The sequence below is a fragment of the Homo sapiens genome, chromosome 5 (assembly GCF_000001405.40).
Source record: "Homo sapiens chromosome 5, GRCh38.p14 Primary Assembly".
NCBI classification, from domain to species: domain Eukaryota; kingdom Metazoa; phylum Chordata; class Mammalia; order Primates; family Hominidae; genus Homo; species Homo sapiens.
In genome coordinates, this window is record NC_000005.10 from 94357200 (window position 1) to 94376833 (window position 19634).

A 19634-nucleotide genomic window follows, 5' to 3' on the forward strand; every position below is an offset into this window, starting at 1 on the left:
TATGAATGAAATCCTTCTGAGTGGTAAAACTCAAGCTAACACACGTTAAAAGTGGTTTTTCCCCAACTGATAAAACTTTGACAGAGGTAAATTCCATCCTCAAGCCTTTCATGTAGTGCAGGAGAAAAGGTTTTTAGAATAAAGGAGAGTAAATAAGCATAAGAAAAAAATCAAATAAAAAATAGAGATGAATACAAATTTTTATGAAAGAAAAACAATGCCAAATCTGGTTCTTTTTCAAGAAATTCAAGTTGTATAAAACAAAATAAACAACATTTTATAGAAGTTTGGAGGAAATGTAATATTTAAAAATCACATCTTAAAGACAAAAGAGGCGGAATTTTGCTGTGTTAAAATGTTTATGGATGGGTCTAGTTTGACAATTTAGCCTGTTGGATGTGACTTTCACAGTCTGTTGGCAGTTTGTAGGCAAGCCATCACACCTGTGACTCTGCGGTTGATTAATGAGTCTTTCAGCTCATTGCTACCATCTGAAGAAGGGCTATGGCCTTTCTGAGCTTCACTGGTTTATTCCCCTTAACTGCAGTCCTGCCATGGTACTTCCATAAGAAAATCACACCTGGTTAAAGCTAATGAAAACCTCAATATGTCATTTTCTAGACAAGTCAAAAAGCATGTAAAACTAGACAAAAGACGTATTCAAGTAACATGAATGTAGTTTTGTCATAACCTGCCAATCCAAAGAGTAACATTAAAAAAAAAAAAAAGCTTTCCTCAATGACATTTCGTAGTATCAACTTTAAGAATGCTAATTCTGAATTATGTGCCATAAGAGGACTTCTGTAATGCCAGCTCTTTTGCTATACACAGTATCTATCTTCATCAGAACTAGGAAGGTCTTAGTTCATAACGAGATCGTCATTTAGTTTTTATTATCTATAAATGTTTAATCAAACTGTGGCATTTTAAAGTCTTGTTTCAAATTCCTCGCCTTCAGTTGGCCGGTATTCTTACAGCTTTTTCTTGAGTGCAAGGCAGCACTGCAACTGCTTTTTCCCCAATCCTGCTCTACACACTGAAAAGTCTTTTAAAACATAAGCACGAATTCCCTCCCCAACCTCTTAAAGTGCAAACTAGAGAATAAGGTGGGAAGGGAGAGACAGGGAACTGAAAGAGAGGATAAACCAAAGGTCTGTGGCTAAAACAGTCTAGTATAGGGCAAAGTGGTGGGAAGTTAAGGAAACATGGAAGACAGTAATCTCTTGCCCTGAAGGCCTTTATACTATGGCTTCATTTCTGAAGCACTATGAATTTCCAAAACATCAATAATATTCAAATAAATACTAAAATTCATTTTAAAGATAAATACCTGTTTTTCTTTACTTTGGATTTGGGGCAATATTCTCTTCCTCTACATACATGGGGCAAAGTTTAGCTATATTTAAGCGGCAGAAAGAATCACAAAACTCTAAGTACTATGAATAAATGGGTAGCAAAGAAACAAAAGTTTCCATTCCAGCAATTTCCATTTTCTGATCCATGAAACACAACTATGTATCACTGAACCTGTTATCAGCAGACATTTCCCTGAGCTGGAAGGGTACTTGCATAATATTCTGGTGCAGTTATTCACCACCAGGTTTCCATTCATCTGAAATTATTATGTTTACACATTTTACCAAAACTATTTAAGGAAATATTTTTCTTTATTCTATCATGGCATAAACTAAGGATAATTCTTCATTATCATCACAATCATTGCTATTTTTCTAGTTTTATATTCCATGCCTATACTAAGAATCATGAAATGAAAACTATTTAGCAATTTACTAATCAATTTGTAATTCTATGATGTCTTATGGAAGGACTGATTTTGGCTGATAAAAAATTGATTATTTTAAGACTTACCTGAATAATGTCAACAATGACTAAGCATTCACAAAGTGTTCAATCATTTGAACAAATTTTCAAATTGTGATATAAATGATTTCAATCCTGGCTGCAAATTTTAATCACATTGGAAAATTTTTTAAAGTAACTACAATTGTTGCCCCACCCCAGAGATTCTGATTTAATTGGTTGGTAAGAGGCCTGGGCATTTTAAAAAATCTCTTCCCAAATTATTCTAATGTTCAACTAAGGCTAAGTACCATAGGTTTATATAATAATCCTCATGTTTATTTTGCTGACCTAAAATAATAAAATACTCAGTCCTACCAGCCAAAAGTGATTTCTCAAATTAAGTTGAAAAATGAAATGATCAGTGTTTGTAATTCTTAGACTTATTACTATGGTTTATAAGAAAGTGTGCTGAGGCCATGTGCAGTGGCTCACGCCTGTAATCCTAATACTTGGGGAGGCCGAGATGGGATGATTGCTTCAGGTCAGGAGTTCAAGACTAGCCTGGTCAACATAGTGAGACCTCCATCTCTTAAAAAAATAAAAATAAAATAAATAAAAGAAAGAAAGTGTGCTGGACCATGAGGCAGAGACCGTGGGCTTGAATTATTGCTCAACTACCTATTAGCTCTCTGACTTCAGTAAGTCCCTCAAAACAAATGTTTTCTAAACCATGAAATGGGAAAATTAAGATTTCTTCCAGCTTTAAAACCATGTTCTCAAGTAATTTCCAAGAATGCAGAATGCAGTTCTTAAATATTAATCAGAGTACTTATTTGATTCCATATACTAATGGTGGGATTTAAACTAGGGTGAGCAAATGTGTGTCACTTAAGCTACCACCATTCTCTTTTCTTGTCTGTGGCAGACATTGCTAATTGATTACAGCGCTACAGAAAAATCACTATTCTCCTGGAGTTTACACTCAATATAAAACTATTTTCTGTTTGGGAGTTAAGTGCTCATTAGCCCTTCTATTTTAAGAGATGATATAATGGAGTAGTTAGCAGGAGACTAAAAATGTCCAGAGAATAAAAAATTCTTAGGACAGTTCAGGAACAAGGACATCACAACTCACGACATGTGAATTAGGTCCTAAAGGTAGGCATAGCCCCACACAGGGATGGTCTATTCCTACTAACCAAACTTACTATCATAACCTGGCTTCTGATGGCAATTCACCGAGAGGGAAAGAATTACCAGATCTACTTGAAGTTGTATTTTTCCTGTAAATTAGTAAAACAGAACTCTAATTTTCTAACAGTCTTCTACAAGTTTGGTTAGTGTTGTCAGAGGTGTTTGAACCAGAGCAACTGCATCTTGAATAGGGTCTGAGTAAAATAAGGCTGAGACCTGCTGGGCTGCATTCCCAGTAAGTTAGGCATTCTAAGTCACAGGATGAGATAGGAGGTTGGCACAAGATACAGGTCATCAAGACCTTGCTGATAAAACAGGTTGTAGTAAAGAAGCCTGCCAAAACCCATCAAAACCAAGATGGCGATGAAAGTAATCTCTGGTCATCCTCACTGCTCATGCATTAGCATGCTAAAAGACACTCCTACCAGTGCTGTGACAGTGGACAAATGCCATGGCAGTGTACAGAAGTTACCCTATATGGTCTGAAAAAGTTCAGTACTGGAAATTGCCCACCCCTTTCCCAGAAAACTTACGAATAATCTACCCCTGGTTTAGGATATAATCTAGAAATAACCATGAAAATGGGGAACCAGCAGCCCTCAGAGGCTGCTCTTCCTATGGACTAGCTATTCTTTTACTCCTTTACTTTACTTTCTTAATAAACTTGCTTTCACTTTACTCTGTGGACTCACCCTGAATTCTTTCCTATGCAAGATCCAAGAACCCTCTCTTGGGGTCTGGATCGGGATCCCCTTCCAGTAACAGTGTGAATCAATATTACTATGTAAAATGAATTGCTAGGCTTTCAAAGCTGTAGAGCAGAGACTAGGGTGGAAATCCTAACAAAATCATGTCCTTCCCAAGAGGTTAATGGGTTTTCTAGCAATGAGACATTCAGCGTAGAAAACACTTGCAAATATAATTAAAATAACTCAATAGTTTCCACCTAATATTTTCTTACATAAAATGAAGTTTTTTTAAAGTGCTAAAACCTTTTCATTTTTGCAAGTTTTTTCATATTTAAAAATAATAAAGTGTACCTAAATGTTATAATGATAAAGAGAGTCACTGCTTTTTGAGGGCAGGGCTCCCATTTCGTGCAGTCCTAGATGCCATCTCTCATGATAAATCCTGTACCAAAAGACAGATTAGTCACACCATCTGCTGCCTCCAGGGAGATAAATTGCACATTTCAAAGTATGGCAACATTCCATTATAGCATAATGAAGAAAATGAAAAACATATTAGCAAACTGAACACTTTGGGGAAATTTCATTTTCAAATTGTGTGCTGTTTTGCTTTTAAAGAAGTAAAATTATTAAATAAAATGTGTGAGAGGAAGCAAATATTCTTCCTTGTAGCAAAATTACGGATGCTTTTACTTTGTGAAAAATAATATTATTTCCAACGAATGCATTAAAATCACACATATAATCCACATTTTCAGAGTTGTTATGAACAAGCATCTATATGTACATACTCTTGCTGAAATCAAATTTTAGTCCTAAAATCACTGTTAGATTACAGGCTAAAAGAGGAAAATGAACAATTAATTGTTCCTGTTTCTTCCTCAGAAACCCTTGGGGTCTATAAATTTAATTTGAGTCCATCTCAGACCTGCCAGTTCAGAGCAACAAACATAAACACACAGACTTGGAAGCATCACTCCATTTCTCAGGCAGTCCTACTGCTTTCAGGTAATTCTTGCTGTTCAGAGACAAACTTACACACACTGAAGAACAGTGTGTGCAGAACAGGCTGCAAGAACACTGACATTAAGAGCAAGACAAATCAGGTGCACCTCTCTTACTTGACCAAGGCCAGTATTAAGCTAGCACATCTTGTCTGAAGAGCCATCAATCACGCACCAAGAGTGCCCTCATGAAGGTACATCCTATCCAAGCTGTATAAATATAAGGCAAATAAAATTTTAGTGACAGTCTACAAGGCCATTTGATCTATGAACTACATAGGTCCTGCAATTGCTTACACATACCTGAAAACCTCCAGGGTCGGATGAGGCCAAGGACTGGAAAGAAAGAATCTGTAACTCTTTCAATATTCTCCACGGATAGGCCTAAATAGAACAGGTGCCCCTTCTACTCCTACCACCCCTTACTCAGTTTGGCATCTGACTTTGTCCTAAGTAGGGTAACATTCATTCACTGTGCCTTTATGTTGCAAATTGAACTGATTTAAAAGTGAAAAATACAGTGAAGAAACCATCACTCTAGCCAATAACGTGGATGCAACATACTTTATCTCATGTGGTGTTACTACTTAGTTGAACCCTTTGTCTAGACTACTTCTCACCTTGGCTACCTGGCTGACTCATAGCTCAGGTATCCCCATCTCCAGATGTACGTTCTGACTCCCTCTGCATTCAGCTTATCTTCCCCTCCTCTGTGATCTTCTACTGTACTTATATGGTAACTTGCATGAACCTCTATTATAGCTATACCCACTGATTTTTTAGTCTATCTCCTCCACTAGATTCTGAGTTCCTTGACAGCAGGGGCTGTGTCTGGCTGATTTCTTTATTTGCTATGTCTAGTGAATGTTTGATGGATGGAAGAATGAACAAACAGTCACAGATTTATCTATTTACTCAAAGTCTTGCTGGACTGAATAATGGGCTGGAAGTATTCTTATAATCAACACAGTGTATTTTGTGGGCTATATAATGCTTTTGTCTGCTAGCAAATATATTCTCTGTATAATAAAATAACAAGAGTCTGGATTGTTCTTTATACAAAGCTATCTATTCCGTAACTATCTTCTAGCCATTTACAGCTCTGACTTGCTGAAATGAACTTGCAGTTGTTCATTACTGATTCTGGGCTGAATCAGATGAATACACAAAGCAAAGACATCATGCTGATGAGAAGAGCCTTCTGGGCAAGTTAGACAGGTAAACAACAAAGCCTTATTCAGGTAACTGACTTATTTCCAAATCTGGCCAGCCCAAACCAGTTTTCTTTTTTTTTTTTTTTTAATCTTAGGACTCTGACTATTATTAGGTTTAATTCATTAACCTAGAATAATCAATTATTTGAAAATAAGAGATCCGCAAGCTTCTGGGTCAATAGCTAAATCGCATTATCTCTTTGTGGGTTTAGAAAACTTTAATTGAATGGAAAACTTCCATATTCTATTTTTCTCTGTTATGTTTCTAAATCACAGGATTTATCCTGTCTTTTTCTCTTAAAACTCCGGAATGAGGACAATGTTAAGGTTTAAATGAGAAATAAAGAACAGGACTGATGTGTTACCTTGAGTGGGTGGGATTATAAGGTGAGGCAGAGCAAGAGGTTAGCAACTTTTACTTTATACAACATCCGCATTGTTTAACTTCTAATGAGCATATATGTGATTTAACATTGCTTTTTAAAGTTTTTAATAAATGGGACCAGGTGTGGTAGCTTACGCCTGTAATCCCAGTGCTTAGGGAGGCTGAGGCAGGAGGATTGCTTGAGGCCAGATGCAAGAACCCATCTCTACAAAAAAAATTTTTTTTAAAAACTAACCAGGCATGGTGGCTCGTGCCTGTAGTTACAGCTATTCAGGAGGCTGAGGCTAGAGGATCACTTTAGCCCAGGAATGTGAGGCTGCAGTGAGCTGTGATCAAGCTACTACTCTCCAGCCAGGGTGACAGAGCAAGATTTATCTCTAAAAAAAAAAATTCAATAAATGAATTAACAACGCCTCTTTCTCTTGGTGATTCTTTCTTTACCTCAGAAAGTTCTATAAGCAAAAGAAAGTCACTTCAAAACAATAAATTTAGACTGACAGCCAAAAGCGTGAACAGAACAGACCCATGCTTTCACCACTGTGCTTTACAGTACAAGTGACAAGCAGGAAAAGCACGAGATCCTTGCTCTCCAGGAGCTATCAGTCTATTTAGGGAGACAGATACCAAAAAGCATTAGTGAATTTCACAAGGTAGCTCATGCTGGACATCAACGTATATAATGTAGTGTATAAATGCCCCGAGAATTGGGAAGACAGAAGGTTTTTGAGAGCTACAGAACTGGAGAGGGGCTTGGGATGGAGGGCCTGAGTGGGTCTTCGACGGGCAGAGTAGGGGGTGATGACAGTCAGTGCAAGCAGAAGAGATGAAACTGGGCAAGGCTGTAGAAGTCATTAACACGGAGCTCTCATTTGTGATATCAGGAAATGCTTCATTTCTTTTCTTTTTTTTTTGAGATGGAGTCTTGCTCTGTCGCCCAGGCTGGAGTGCAGTGACACGATCTCGGCTCACTGCAAGCTCTGCCTCCCGGGTTCACGCCATTCTCCTGCCTCAGCCTCCCGAGTAGCTGGGACTACAGGCACCTGACACCACGCCCGGCTAATTTTTTTGTATTTTTAGTAGAGACGGGGTTTCACTGTGTTAGCCAGGATGGTCTCAATCTCCTGACCTCGTGATCCACCTGCCTTGGCCTCCCAAAGTGCTGGGATTAATGGTCATTCTCCAACTCTGGTTGTGTCAGTTTTCTAATCTGTCACCTCTATTCTATTTCTCATCTCCCAATATATAGGAGTTAAGAAGAAATTATTTAGTCAGATAGTGAGGGTAATGAAGTCCTCGGTAAGGTTTTCCTTTTAATGAAAAGCAGCCCCCAAATCATTTTCTTTTCTAACAAAGTGCAGCCTGTAAAATCGACCTGCAGACATAGAAAGGCAAACGAGATGCTTGCACGGGTGGGTGCCGGGAGTTGTGCCAATAGGAAAGGGGCTACCTGGGGACTAGGCGTGTTCAAAATGGCTGCTCCATCTTCCCATCTCTTTGCCAAACTACGTGTACAGTAAGAGAAGACAACATGGCATGGCCAGGCAAAGACGCCATTTGCATAATAAGATTAGGGTGGGCGGCTATGTAAACGTCACACCTGCTCCAACCAGTCTGTGGCCCTATGTAAATCGGGCCCTCAAGCCTGTCTGTAAATCCGGTGCACTCCATGCATGGATGTGCATGGGCCAGAAGTCCCATTTGGGCACCCCCGCTCTCTCTCCCAAGAGAAAGAGCTATTCTCCTTTCTCTTTCTTTTGCCTATTAAACCTCCGCTCCTAAACCCACTTCTTGTGTTTGCGTCCTCAATTCCCTTGGCGTGAGACGGCAAACCCCGAGTATTTACCCCAGACAACAATGCCCCTTCACCAGAACCTTAATCCTGGCCACGAAATGATAAATAATACCAGTCTCTGAAGGCAGATGCCCGCATCAAGTTTAATTCTTCATACTGGTGATTCCATGTCTAGGTTCTGATTTCTATGTAAATCAAAATCCACAGCTGGACACAGGTCCTGTTGCACAGTAGATTATTGAAAAAATGCCAAGTACTAGCCCTTTGTGGCCACAACTTCCTGAAACTGCCTTTGCAAAGCCATAACTGAGAAAATTATTACAGTGAAAGAGATCGGACCTAACTAACACCATCTTGCTTCTAACCTTCAAGCTGTCCTTGTTCAATCCTAGATGTAGGCTGAGCTAACTTTGGGAGGAACTTAGTTTATAGTTTAGCTTTGAAACAAAGATGATAACAGGCCTTTCCCAAAACAACCCCCCTTCCTGCCTGCGGACTAGACTGCCTTTACAGGACTAACAAATTAGCTAGAAGATGAGAAATTATGTTTTAGGAGTCACGCAGCTGGAGGCTGCAAGTTTCTAAACTTCCCCAAGTTGCTCCTGGGGATAAAATCACTATTATAAAATCTAAGATCAGTGCTTGAGATATTTTGCAGACTCCGCGCTCAATAAATCAGCTGGCACCACCCAGATTGATAAACTGGCTCATATGGTCTTGTAGCCCCCACCCAGGAACTGTCTTAGCACAAAAGGACAGCTTCAACTCCCCATGATTTCATCTCCGACCTGACCAATTAGCACTCCCAACTCACTGGCCCTCTACCTACCAAATTATCCTTAAAAACTCCAGCCACCAAATTCTTGGGGAGACTGATTTGAGTAATAATAAAACTCCAGTCTCCCACACAGCCGGCTCTGTGTGAATTACTCTTTCTCTATTGCAATTCCCCTGTCTTGATAAATCAGCTCTATCTAGGCAGCGGGTAAAGTGAACCCACTGCGGGGTTACATTCCCTGCCTTTGGCTCATGAATATAGGCAGCATCAGCTTCCTGACTCACCCTCTGCCTTGAACCCAGACACACATAACACAGCTAGCACCTAATAGAGACTGCTCTGGGTAGCCCCTCCTCTCATTTCTGCTTCTTCTCCTTGGTCCTCCTCACCCACGTCCTCCTTTTGCAATTACTTGGAGTCTTGGGCTGTGCCTTACTATTTAATCCCTGGCCCCATGTTTACCCTTGTAACTTGCTCTGGCCTGTCCAAAGAGGAGGATCAAATAATAGCTAGAAATAATAATAACTCATATTTACAGAGAACTTCCTGTGTTCCAGGCCTTGTACTAAATACCTGCTAAAGGTTAAGTTTTTCTTATTTTCCCAGCCACTCAGCAAGAAAGATGCTGCTATTTTCCCTGTGTTTGAAATGTTTGTTCTTCAGTGCTGTAAAGAAAATAGCACTTGGACATAAATTTAATTTATTTAGTAAGGCCATTTTTACTTCTTGCAGAAAGGGTACACTTGCCAGGAGTTTTTCCACGACAGTACCCCAAACAAAGGAGACAGGGTCATTTATAACTTGATGCGTCCACCTTACTGTTGTGTCCGGTTTCTACTGGCTGGAACGGGACCTCACATTCTGTGTTTGACCTGATTGGCTAGCAAGTTAGAACTTTATAAAAGAGGTAAATGTAGAGGAGAACAAAGAAGGAGGAAGTAACTTGTGGAATGCTGAGAAAGGTAAAAACACTTTTAAATAAGGAAGAGGAACAGGCTATGACCTAATGCTTGCTTGGGCCAGTACAAACATGCCAGGGCAAATATTTAGAAGCACAGGTCTTTGAATACATTTTGCTTCTAAGACAAGTTACTATTTATTCCTAATTAAATGGGGAGGAAATTCTTTGAAGAGGAACCTCCACTTTATTTTTTACACCTGTTGTAAGAAATAGGGGCCCGTAATCCCAGCACTTTGGGAGGCTGAGGCGGGTGGATCACCCGAGGTGAGGAGTTTGAGGCCAGCCTGGCCAACATGATGAAACCCCATCTCTAATAAAAATACAAAAAATTAGGCAGACGTGGTGGCGGGCGCCTGTAATCCCAGCTACTTAGGAGGCTGAGGCAGGAGAATCACTTGAACCTGGGAGGCGGAGGTTGCAGTGAGCCAAGATGGCACCATTGCACTCCAGCCTGGGCAACAAGAGCGACACTCGATCTCAAAAAAAAAATAGAAATAGGGATAAGAAAAAGGAAGCCTAGAGAAAGTGATAAAGTGATAGAGAAAGGATTTGAACCCTGTAGGATTTTTTGCCACAGTGGAGGTACTTGGTGAATGACAGGACCAGGTGAAGGATGCCTTGACATTGGGACTGAAGAGTTTGGGTTTGATGCTACAGACAATGTGTCATCACTGCAAGTTTTGAAGTGGAAGAGTGGCAGAAAAAGAAAATATATTTAAAAATCTCTGTACTTCACTCCAGCTCTTATCCCTTTGATACTTGGTAATTTTTAAAACAGATTTGTCTGTGTCCTTTTATGTTTCACCCTTATTCTATCAGCATCAAAAAGTATCTGCGTATTCATGGCAGTTTAATATGTAAAAGCAGCAAAGCAAAAATGTGGAAGCAGCCTTAAATGTACAGGAATAGAGAAATGATTAGGTAAATTGTGCTACATTAATTTGGTATAAAGCTAAGCCATTAAAAAATAAAAACTCTGTATCTTTACATGGATGAGTCACAAGAATAGTTTTGTGAAAAATGTAGAACACCCATTGTAAATATAGACCTCCTCATTGTGACTGTGTAAAAGGTGTGTGTTGTGTACATAAAAGAGAATGAGGAGAAAAGAGCTGAGTCAGCATGGTGGGATGAGATTATAAATATACTATTTCTTTGTTTTAAAAATGTTACTTAGTATTATCTGTAATTTACCTAGACTAGAGTGAAGTGATGCAATCACAGCTCACTACAGTCCCGACTTTCTGGGCTCAAGCAATCCTGCCACCTCAGCCCCCGGAGTAGCTGGAACCACAGGTGTGCACCACGACACCCAATTAATTTTTGTATTTTTTGTAGAAATAGGGTTTCTGCATGTTGCCCAGGCTAGTCTCGAACTCCTAGGCTCAAGGGATCCACCCACCCTGGACCTCCCAAAGTTCTGGGATTACAGGTGTGAGCCACCACCCCTGACCAGTTATTTGCAATTGGTTTTACAGTGAAGGAAAAATGTAAGGAGAGAAACCAAGTTAATCCAGCAGATACACAGATTAGAGACATTCCAGCTGGAGTAAAACAGGCTCTGGAGGCATGAGCAGGAGAGGGCACTGAATTTTGAGAGTGGAGGCATATGGGAACAAAAAGAAACGGGTGTGAGAAATGTTTAGAGGAAACACTCGGAGGCATGTATTCTCTAACAGAATTTAGATGATGGGAAATAGAAACTTGGCAAAGTACTTCAAGGTTTCTAGGCTAAGGCCAGCAGCCTGTTAGTGCCATTAATAGAAATCACACAACTCTGAAGAGAGGGCAGTTTTTAGATGAAGATAATTATGATGGTTGGACTTCTGTGTGAGATGAGAGTTATTATATTAAATTACTATTATGGGCTGGTTATGGTGGCTCACACCTGTAATCTCAGCACTTTGGGAGGTTGAGCCAAGCAGACTGCTTGAGCCCAGGAGTTCGAGACCAGACCGGGCAACATGGCAAAACCCCTTCTCTACTAAAAATACAAAAATTAGCTGAGTGAGCCTGTAGTCCCAGCTATTCAGGAGGTTGAGGAGGGAGGATCACTTGGTCCTGGGGCATTGAGGCTGGAGTGAGCCAAGATTGAAGCACTACACTCCAGCCTAGGTGACAGAGTGAGACCTAGACAAATAAATAAATATAAATAAAATATTATTAAGGGGAAAAAAATCCAAGAATATGGAATCTAGAGCTGTTGTGTGGAACAATTAAGGCTAGAGATACGGATTCAAGACTCGGGGGCACAGATTTAGAGGTGGGCCTGATCATATCATTGGGCCTAATCCATTCTGATGACAAGCATTATTTAGCTAGCATAGAATTTTTAAAAAATAGAATGTGAATGCATTCACCTTCCCCTATTGTATTATACTTTGCCTTGACATATTTACATTACTTGCCCAGCCCCTGAAGGCATTTGATTTCAATACCTGAGATAATCACCTGAGGCTATGTGAGCGAATGAGTTAGCTTCAGGAAAAGAGGTGGGAAGGATGTGGAGAGTGTGAGAATGAGAGGATTGAGGCTAAGAAGCCTTTAGCAATGTCTGAGGAAAGAAGAAATCAGAACATCTGTCTTAAGAATTGCAGAAGGGGAGATAAATGTAACTGGGGCCTGAGGCAAGGAAAATAATCAAAAATAGGAAAAAATATCCTTTTATCTGAAGAAAATCACAATATTGATGTGGCCTACTGAGTGCCAAGAGAAACCAAAGACTCGTATATAGACACGATCTCATTTCAGAATAACTGAGGGAAGAAGTCACTAAGAGCATCCAGGGAGAGGATAGGGGAAAAAGAATCAGTCTGGCATCAGTTTTCTCACAGGGAGCATAAAACACAAGAAGCCATAGTTTCAGCATAAAACACGAGAAGCCATAGTTTCAGCATAAAACACAAGAAGCCATAGTTTCTTCATAAATGTAAACATAAATGTATGGTACAACCAGCACTCCCACTCCTAGGTACTATCCAAGTGAAATAAAAACCTATGTTCATGCAAAACCTGTATACAAATGTTTTTAGAGGCTTTATTCACAATCACTTAATACTGGAAACAATCCAAATGTCCTTTAAAAGGTGAATAGATCAAAAAACTGTGGTACAACCATACAATGAACTACTATTATACAAAAAAAATAAAAAAAAAAGGACAAACAAACGGAGGAATCCATTGCTATAGCATTCTTGAAAGGACAAAATTATAGGGATAGAGAACGGGTCAGTGGTTGCCACAGGTTGGCATGGAGGTAGAAAGTAACAAAGGGTCAGCACAGAGGAATTTTTGAGGGTGATAAAACTCTCTGTATTTCAACTGTGATGATTGTTAAACAACTTTATTCATTTGTTGTAACTCAGAACTGTACAAGAACACTGAATTTTACTTCAGTAATTCTTTAAAAAATAAAATATAAGTAGAGAAATGATTTTAAAATAGGGGTTATATCAGATAAAGGTGAGGAATGGAAAAATAAAATTAAAATTTTTATTAGCAGAGTTTGATGGGAAGGAGAAGAGAGATGGTAGTTTGAGTTAAATTCTATATTTACATTGCAAGGAGTCAATATTATAAGTTGATAAATTTAAAAACATAGTATCGGCCGGTTGCTGTGGCTGAAGCCTGTAATCCCAGCACTTTGGGAGGCCGAGGCGGGCAGATCACGAGGTCAGGAGATCGAGATCATCCTGGCTAACACAGTGAAACCCCTTCTTTACTAAAAAAATACAAAAAAAGTAGCTGGGCGTGGTGGTGGGAGCCTGTAGTCCCAGCTACTCGGGAGCCTGAGGCAGGAGAATGGCATGAAACCGGGAGACAGAGCTTTGCAGTGAGCTGAGATCATGCCACTGCACTCCAGCTTGGGCGACAGAGGGAGACTCTGTCTCAAAAAAACAAAACAAAACAAAACAAAACAAAAAAACGTAGTGTCATAGCCTATTCCTTAGACTTATCAACCAATAAATAAAAACAGAAATGCTTCAAATGATTACAATTAGAGTGAGACTTGTGTGATTCAGGAGCTGGTGGGGGAGCGGGTGGGATATTTTATATTTTATATCTTCCTGTACCATTTGAAATAATATGTGTATAAATATTGCTTATAGTTTATTATAAAATAAAAATTTTAAATATTCTGAATATAAAAACATCCTGATTTAAAAAATTTTACACCAGATTTCACACTATGAGGAGAAAAAAAGCTCAGGTTTAGAGCTGTATCCTCAAGGTACACTAAGGTATGAGTTTCACTTACAGTATAAGAAAGTCCTACAGGTATCCTAACTAATTTAATACACATCACATCACAAAAATACTGTAATATTAATAGTATTATTTTATAAGTCCATTCTTACGCTGCTATAGGGACATACCCAAGACTGGGTAATTTATAAAGGAAAGAGGCTTAATTGACTCACTGTTCTGCAGGGCTGGGGAGGCCTCAGGAAACTTACAATCATGATGGAAGGGGAAGCAAATACATCCTTCTTTAAAGGCAGCAGGAGAGAGAAGAATGAGAGCCGAGCGAGGGGGGAAGCCCCTTATTAAACCATCAGATATCATGAGAACTCACTCACTATCACTAGAACAGTATGGGGGAAACCACCCCCATGATTCAGTTACCTCCTACCGAGTCCCTCCCACAACACGGGGGAATTATGGAAACTAAAATTCAAGATGAGATTTGGAATGGGCACACAGCCAAACTGTATCATTCTGCCCCTGGCCCCTCCAAAATCTCATGTCCTCACATTTCAAAACACAATCATGCCTTCCCAACAGTCCATTAAAGTCTTAATTCACTCCAACATTAACCCAAAAGTCCAAGTCCAAAGTCTCATCTGAAACAAGGCAAGTCCCTCAGCCTATAAGCCTGTAAAATCAAAAGCAAGTTGGTTACTTCCTAGATACAATGGGGGTACAGGCATTGGGTAAATACACCTGTTCCAAATGAGAGAAATTGGCCAAAACAAAGCAATTACATGCCCCACACAAGTCCAAACTCCAATAGGAAAGTTATTAAACCTTAAAATTCCAAAATGATCTCCTTTGACTCCATGTCTCACATCCAAGTCATGCTGATGCAAGAGGTGGGCTCCCATGGCCTTGGGCAGCTCTGCTTCTGTGGGTTTGAAGGATATAGCCCCCCTCCTGGCTGCTTTCACAGGCTGGTGCTGAGTGCCTGCAGCTTTTCTAGGTGTGTGGTGCAAGCTATCAGTGGATCTACTATTCTGGGGTCTGGAGGATAGTGGCCCTCTTCTCACAGGTCAGCTAGGCAGTGCCCCAGTGGGGGCTCCAACCCCACATTTCCCTTCTGTACTGCCCTAGCAGAGGTTCTCCATGAGGGCTTTGCCCCTGCATCAAACTTCTGCCTGACATCCAGGCATTTCCATACATCCTCTGAAATCTAGGCAGAGGTTTCCAACTTCAATTCTTGTCTTCTGTGCACCCGCAGTACCAAACCACGTGGAAGCTGCCAAGGTTTGGGCTTGCACCCTCTGAAGCAATGGCCTGAGCTGTACCTTGGCCCCTTTTATCCAAGGCTGGAGCTGAAGCAGCTGGGATGCAGGGCACCATGTCCCAGGGCTGCACAGAGGAGGGGGGCCCTGGGCCCAGGCCACAAAGCATTTTTCCCTTCTGGGTCTCCAGGCCTGTAATGGGACGGGCTGCCGTGAAGGTCTCTGACATGCTCTGGAGACATTTTCTTCATTGTCTTGGTGATTAACATTCAGCTCCTCGTTACTTATGCAAATTTCTGCAGTGGGCTTAAATTCTCCCCAGAAAATGGGGTTTTCTTTTCTATTGCTTTGTCAGTCTGCAAATTTTCCAAACCTTTATGTTCTGCTTCCGCTTGAATGCTTTGCCACTTAGAAATTTCTTCTGCCAGATACCCTAAATCATTGCTCTCAAGTTCAAAGTTCCACAGATCTCTAGGGCAGGGGAAAAAGCTGCCAGTCTCTTTGCTAACACATAGCAAGAGTCCAGTTTGCTCCAGTTTTCAACAAGTTCCTCATCTCCATCTTGGACCACCTCAGCCTGGACTTCATTGTCCGTATCACTACTAGCATTTTGGTTAAAGCCATTCAACAAGTTTCTAGGAAGTTCAAAACTTTCTCACATCTTCCTGTCTTCTGAGCCCTCCAAGTCTCTAGGAAGTTCCAAACTCTTCCACATTTTCCTATCTTCTTCTGAATCCTCTAAACTGTTCCAACGTCTGCCTGTTACCAAGTTCCAAAGTCGCTTCCACATTTTTGGGGATGCTTATAGCAGCACCCCCTCCTCCCTTGGTACCAATTTACTGTATTAGTTCCTTCTCATGCTGCTATGAAGACAGACCCAAGACTGGGTATTTCTAAAGGAAAGAAGTTTTTTATAAAGGAGAAAATCTTTTTTTTAATAAAGGAAAGAAAATTTATAAAGGAAAGAGGTTTAATTGACTCACAGTTCAGCATGGCTGCAGAGGCCCCAGGAAACTTACAATCTTGGTGGAAGGGGAAGCAAACACGTCCTTCTTTACATGGCGGCAGGTGAGAGAATGAGATCTAAGCAGAGGAGGAAGCCCCTTCTAAAACCATCAGATCTCATAAGAACTTACTCACTATCATGAGAATAGCATGGGGGAAACCGCTCCCATGATTCAACTACCTCCCACTGGGTCCCTCTCATGGGAACTACAATTCAAGATGAGATTTGGGTGGGGACACAGCCAAATCATGTCGATTATAAATGTTACTACATAAAATGAAGAATATTACTAGTTGTCACACAGTTTTGTTATTATAATATATAACTATATTTAGATATTTTAATTTCTCTCATAATTGTCACAGTAAAAATATCTTCAAAGAGATAATTTCCTCTCATGTTGCTATAGCATCATAAGCAAACAGATATCCAATAGTCATCAATAAGCCTTACAGAAGTCAATTCTCTCTTCATCTTCAATCAAACTGAATCAATGGGCCTATGACAGCTACTCCTGGTGGAAAATATGCTAAAACTTTTTGCAAAAAAAATTACAGAGGTTTTTGGGTCTGAACAGTATGTGACAGGGGAATAGTCATTGAAAAAAAGAATGTACTCTATACAAGCAAGTTTTAAAATAGTTTTTGATCCAGTGCAAGAACCCGAAAGTGCCAGTATGTGAATGCATAATTAGGTAGAAGAAAATTGATTACAAAGTGAATTTTGGTTCAATCTGACAAGCAAAAATTCTCCCATGGCTGCTTTTGAGAAACTTATTATACCTTTCTTTCATCAAAATGTTGCCAGTTGTGCATTTCTGTCAATAGCATTTAACATATTTATTTAGGTTGCCTGTTTTCTACTTCACTAAAGTAATGGAGACCTTTATTTATATTTTATTCCTGTTAACATATATAACACATATCCATATAATCTCCCCATATGTAAGAGAATTACTCTCTCTGTCTTTGCTGTGGTAGCCACAGAATTGTATCACTCAAGTCTTCTACTGTTAGCATAGTTGACTAATGGCCCCAGCTGTCATTCCTCTGTATCTATCATAGTATTTGTGCTGAGGTCATGCTTCTACCAAGCTGTTTATAGCCAGTGTCTGAGCAAGGTGTAGGTACTAGTGCTAGTCCATTCCTACAAGGCATGGGACTTTTCTAGTGGGTGACTTTAGCTCCAGGCATCTCCCTGGACCTTGTCAAAACCCTGCTGTCTGAGACTCTTCCTCCCCAATCCTCCTTCGCCCTCACCTTTCACAGGTATCAGATCAGCAACTCAGTCTGAAGTTGAGTTCATTCTGAAGCCTTCCCTGCCTATTCCTACTTCCTCCTCTTAATCCTTCATGTGCATCTCTCTCCTAAAATCCTCTTGCACCTTGAATTCCATCTTGGCATCTGCTTCTTGGAGGATCTGAACCCACACTCTCTGAAGAAAAGGTAAGCATAGCACCTTTCTACCTTAAGAATATCTGGATCACGCTGTCTCCAGAGAGGAAATATTGTTAAAAATAGATTTTTCTTTTCTTTCTTTCCTTCTCTTTTTTTTTTTTTTTTTTGATAAAGTCTCGCTCTGTCGCCTGGGCTGGAGTGCAGTGGCACGACCTCGGCTCACTGCAACCTCTGCCTCCAGGGTTCAAGTGATTCTCCTGCCTCAGCCTCCCGAGTAGCTGGGACTACAGACACATGCCACTATGCCTGGCTAATTTTTTGTATTTTTAGTAGAGACAGGGTTTCACTATGTTAGCCAGGATGATCTTGATCTCCTGACCTCGTGATCTGCCCACCTCGGCCTCCCAAAGCTCTGGGATTACAAGCGTGAGCCACCACACCCGGCCAAAAATAGATTTTTCTGAGCCCCTAAACTTCCCGGGAAGTTTCTTTTATATTTGTGTTGTATAATCTCTTCCTCAATCTCTAGCCATAATCTCTAACCTGACCTTTCCTCCTGTCCCTCCACTCCAGGTGTTATTAATGTGCTGAAGTAGCTCTCTGTTTCTGTCACTCCTTGGCTTAAAGGCTCTGATGATTCCCTCAAGTCTACTGGTTAATATCCAAATGTTTTAGCCCAATCCATAGTCAATTTCTCAAATTCTAACTAGAAAAGGGCTCTTTTTCCAAGGCTAGAGATAACAGGCAAAGGATTGGAGATGATAAAACAAAATTGAGGTTTAGGAAGGAAAGCTGGGAGTTTCACATTAGATGGCTTTACTATTCCTGGTAAGGTAGATGGTGGAAAGTCAGCAGGAGGGATTTGGGAGCTTGAACGGGGGGAGACAACCAAAGCGAAAATTCAAAATGGATTAAAAAGTTTGCAGAGTAGCACTAAGGAGTCCTTTGAAGGATATTGAGATAACCCTAGGATAAGGGATATCCCTAGTACATTGTTACTTTATTCTAAATAAATGCCTTTCATTTAATAGATGTTCAAAAATGTTGAATGAGGAAAGTAAGCAAAGCATTATAAAAGCTCTACAGAAGCCCTAGAAGGAAGTGATTAAGAACATGGCCTCGAGCCAAAATCTGAGCACCATCACTTAGAGCTCGGTACCTCTGTGCCTTAGTGTCCTTATCAGGAAAGTAATAATATGATACCTACTTTGTAAGGTTATTATAAGGATTTACAGTTAAATATGTGTATATAAATCACCTAAATTATGCCAGCCATATGGTAAGCACTCTGTATGTTTGCTGTCTTTATTATCATCAGTATTATTACAGTAAATATGCAGCTAATTAAAAAATTGACCAGAAGTATGGTACATATTAATAGATAAAGTACCAGATACTATAGTAGATACAAAACCAGAAGACTTCATCTTGGGGCTCTTTTGAGCTGCCATGTAATGTCCGTGACCTTGGGCATGTTATTTAATGTTCTGCAACCTCAAGAGTACCTGTCCCTTGTTACATGGTTGTAGTGAGAGTCAAAGGAGATTAGTGTGAAAGTGCTTTATACACCATAAAGGACAACAGACATACAAGCTACCCATCAGGAAATAATACACCTGTATTAGTTTGTTTGGTTCATGTACCAATTCCCTTAGCCCTACAAATTCTGAGGATCAGATTGTCAAATTTATGCATTTTAAATACATGTTAGATAATCTCTGCAAAAAACAAACAAACAAACAAACAAACAAACCATGCTGCTGTAGATTTCAGGATAAGAGAAAAGCTTTCTCTTGTTTGAGAAGATACAGTGATGATGGGTAGAGCGAGTCACTGAGTCTGAGGTCTTTTGGTGGAGGAAGGAAGAAAACAATTTTCTAGGGAACAGGAGCATGAAAAAACCCACCAAATTTGAATGGCATGGCATATGTATGTAATGACTAAGAGGT

The 19634-nt window shown here is 40.0% G+C and overlaps 1 protein-coding gene across 17 annotated transcripts in view, besides 1 other annotated feature; it reads right to left on the bottom strand.

The window, feature by feature from the left end:
* KIAA0825 overlaps positions 1-19634 on the bottom strand; it is a 467754-nt gene that overhangs the window by 206349 nt on the left and 241771 nt on the right. The window lies entirely within an intron of this gene.
* Positions 4959-5599: an enhancer, noted in NCBI's record as "OCT4-NANOG-H3K27ac hESC enhancer chr5:93697863-93698503 (GRCh37/hg19 assembly coordinates)". NCBI's record gives its function as "activates a minimal SCP1, AML or CMV promoter by ChIP-STARR-seq in primed H9 embryonic stem cells {active_cell/tissue: H9 hESC(primed)}" and the evidence as "EXISTENCE:reporter gene assay evidence [ECO:0000049][PMID:30033119]".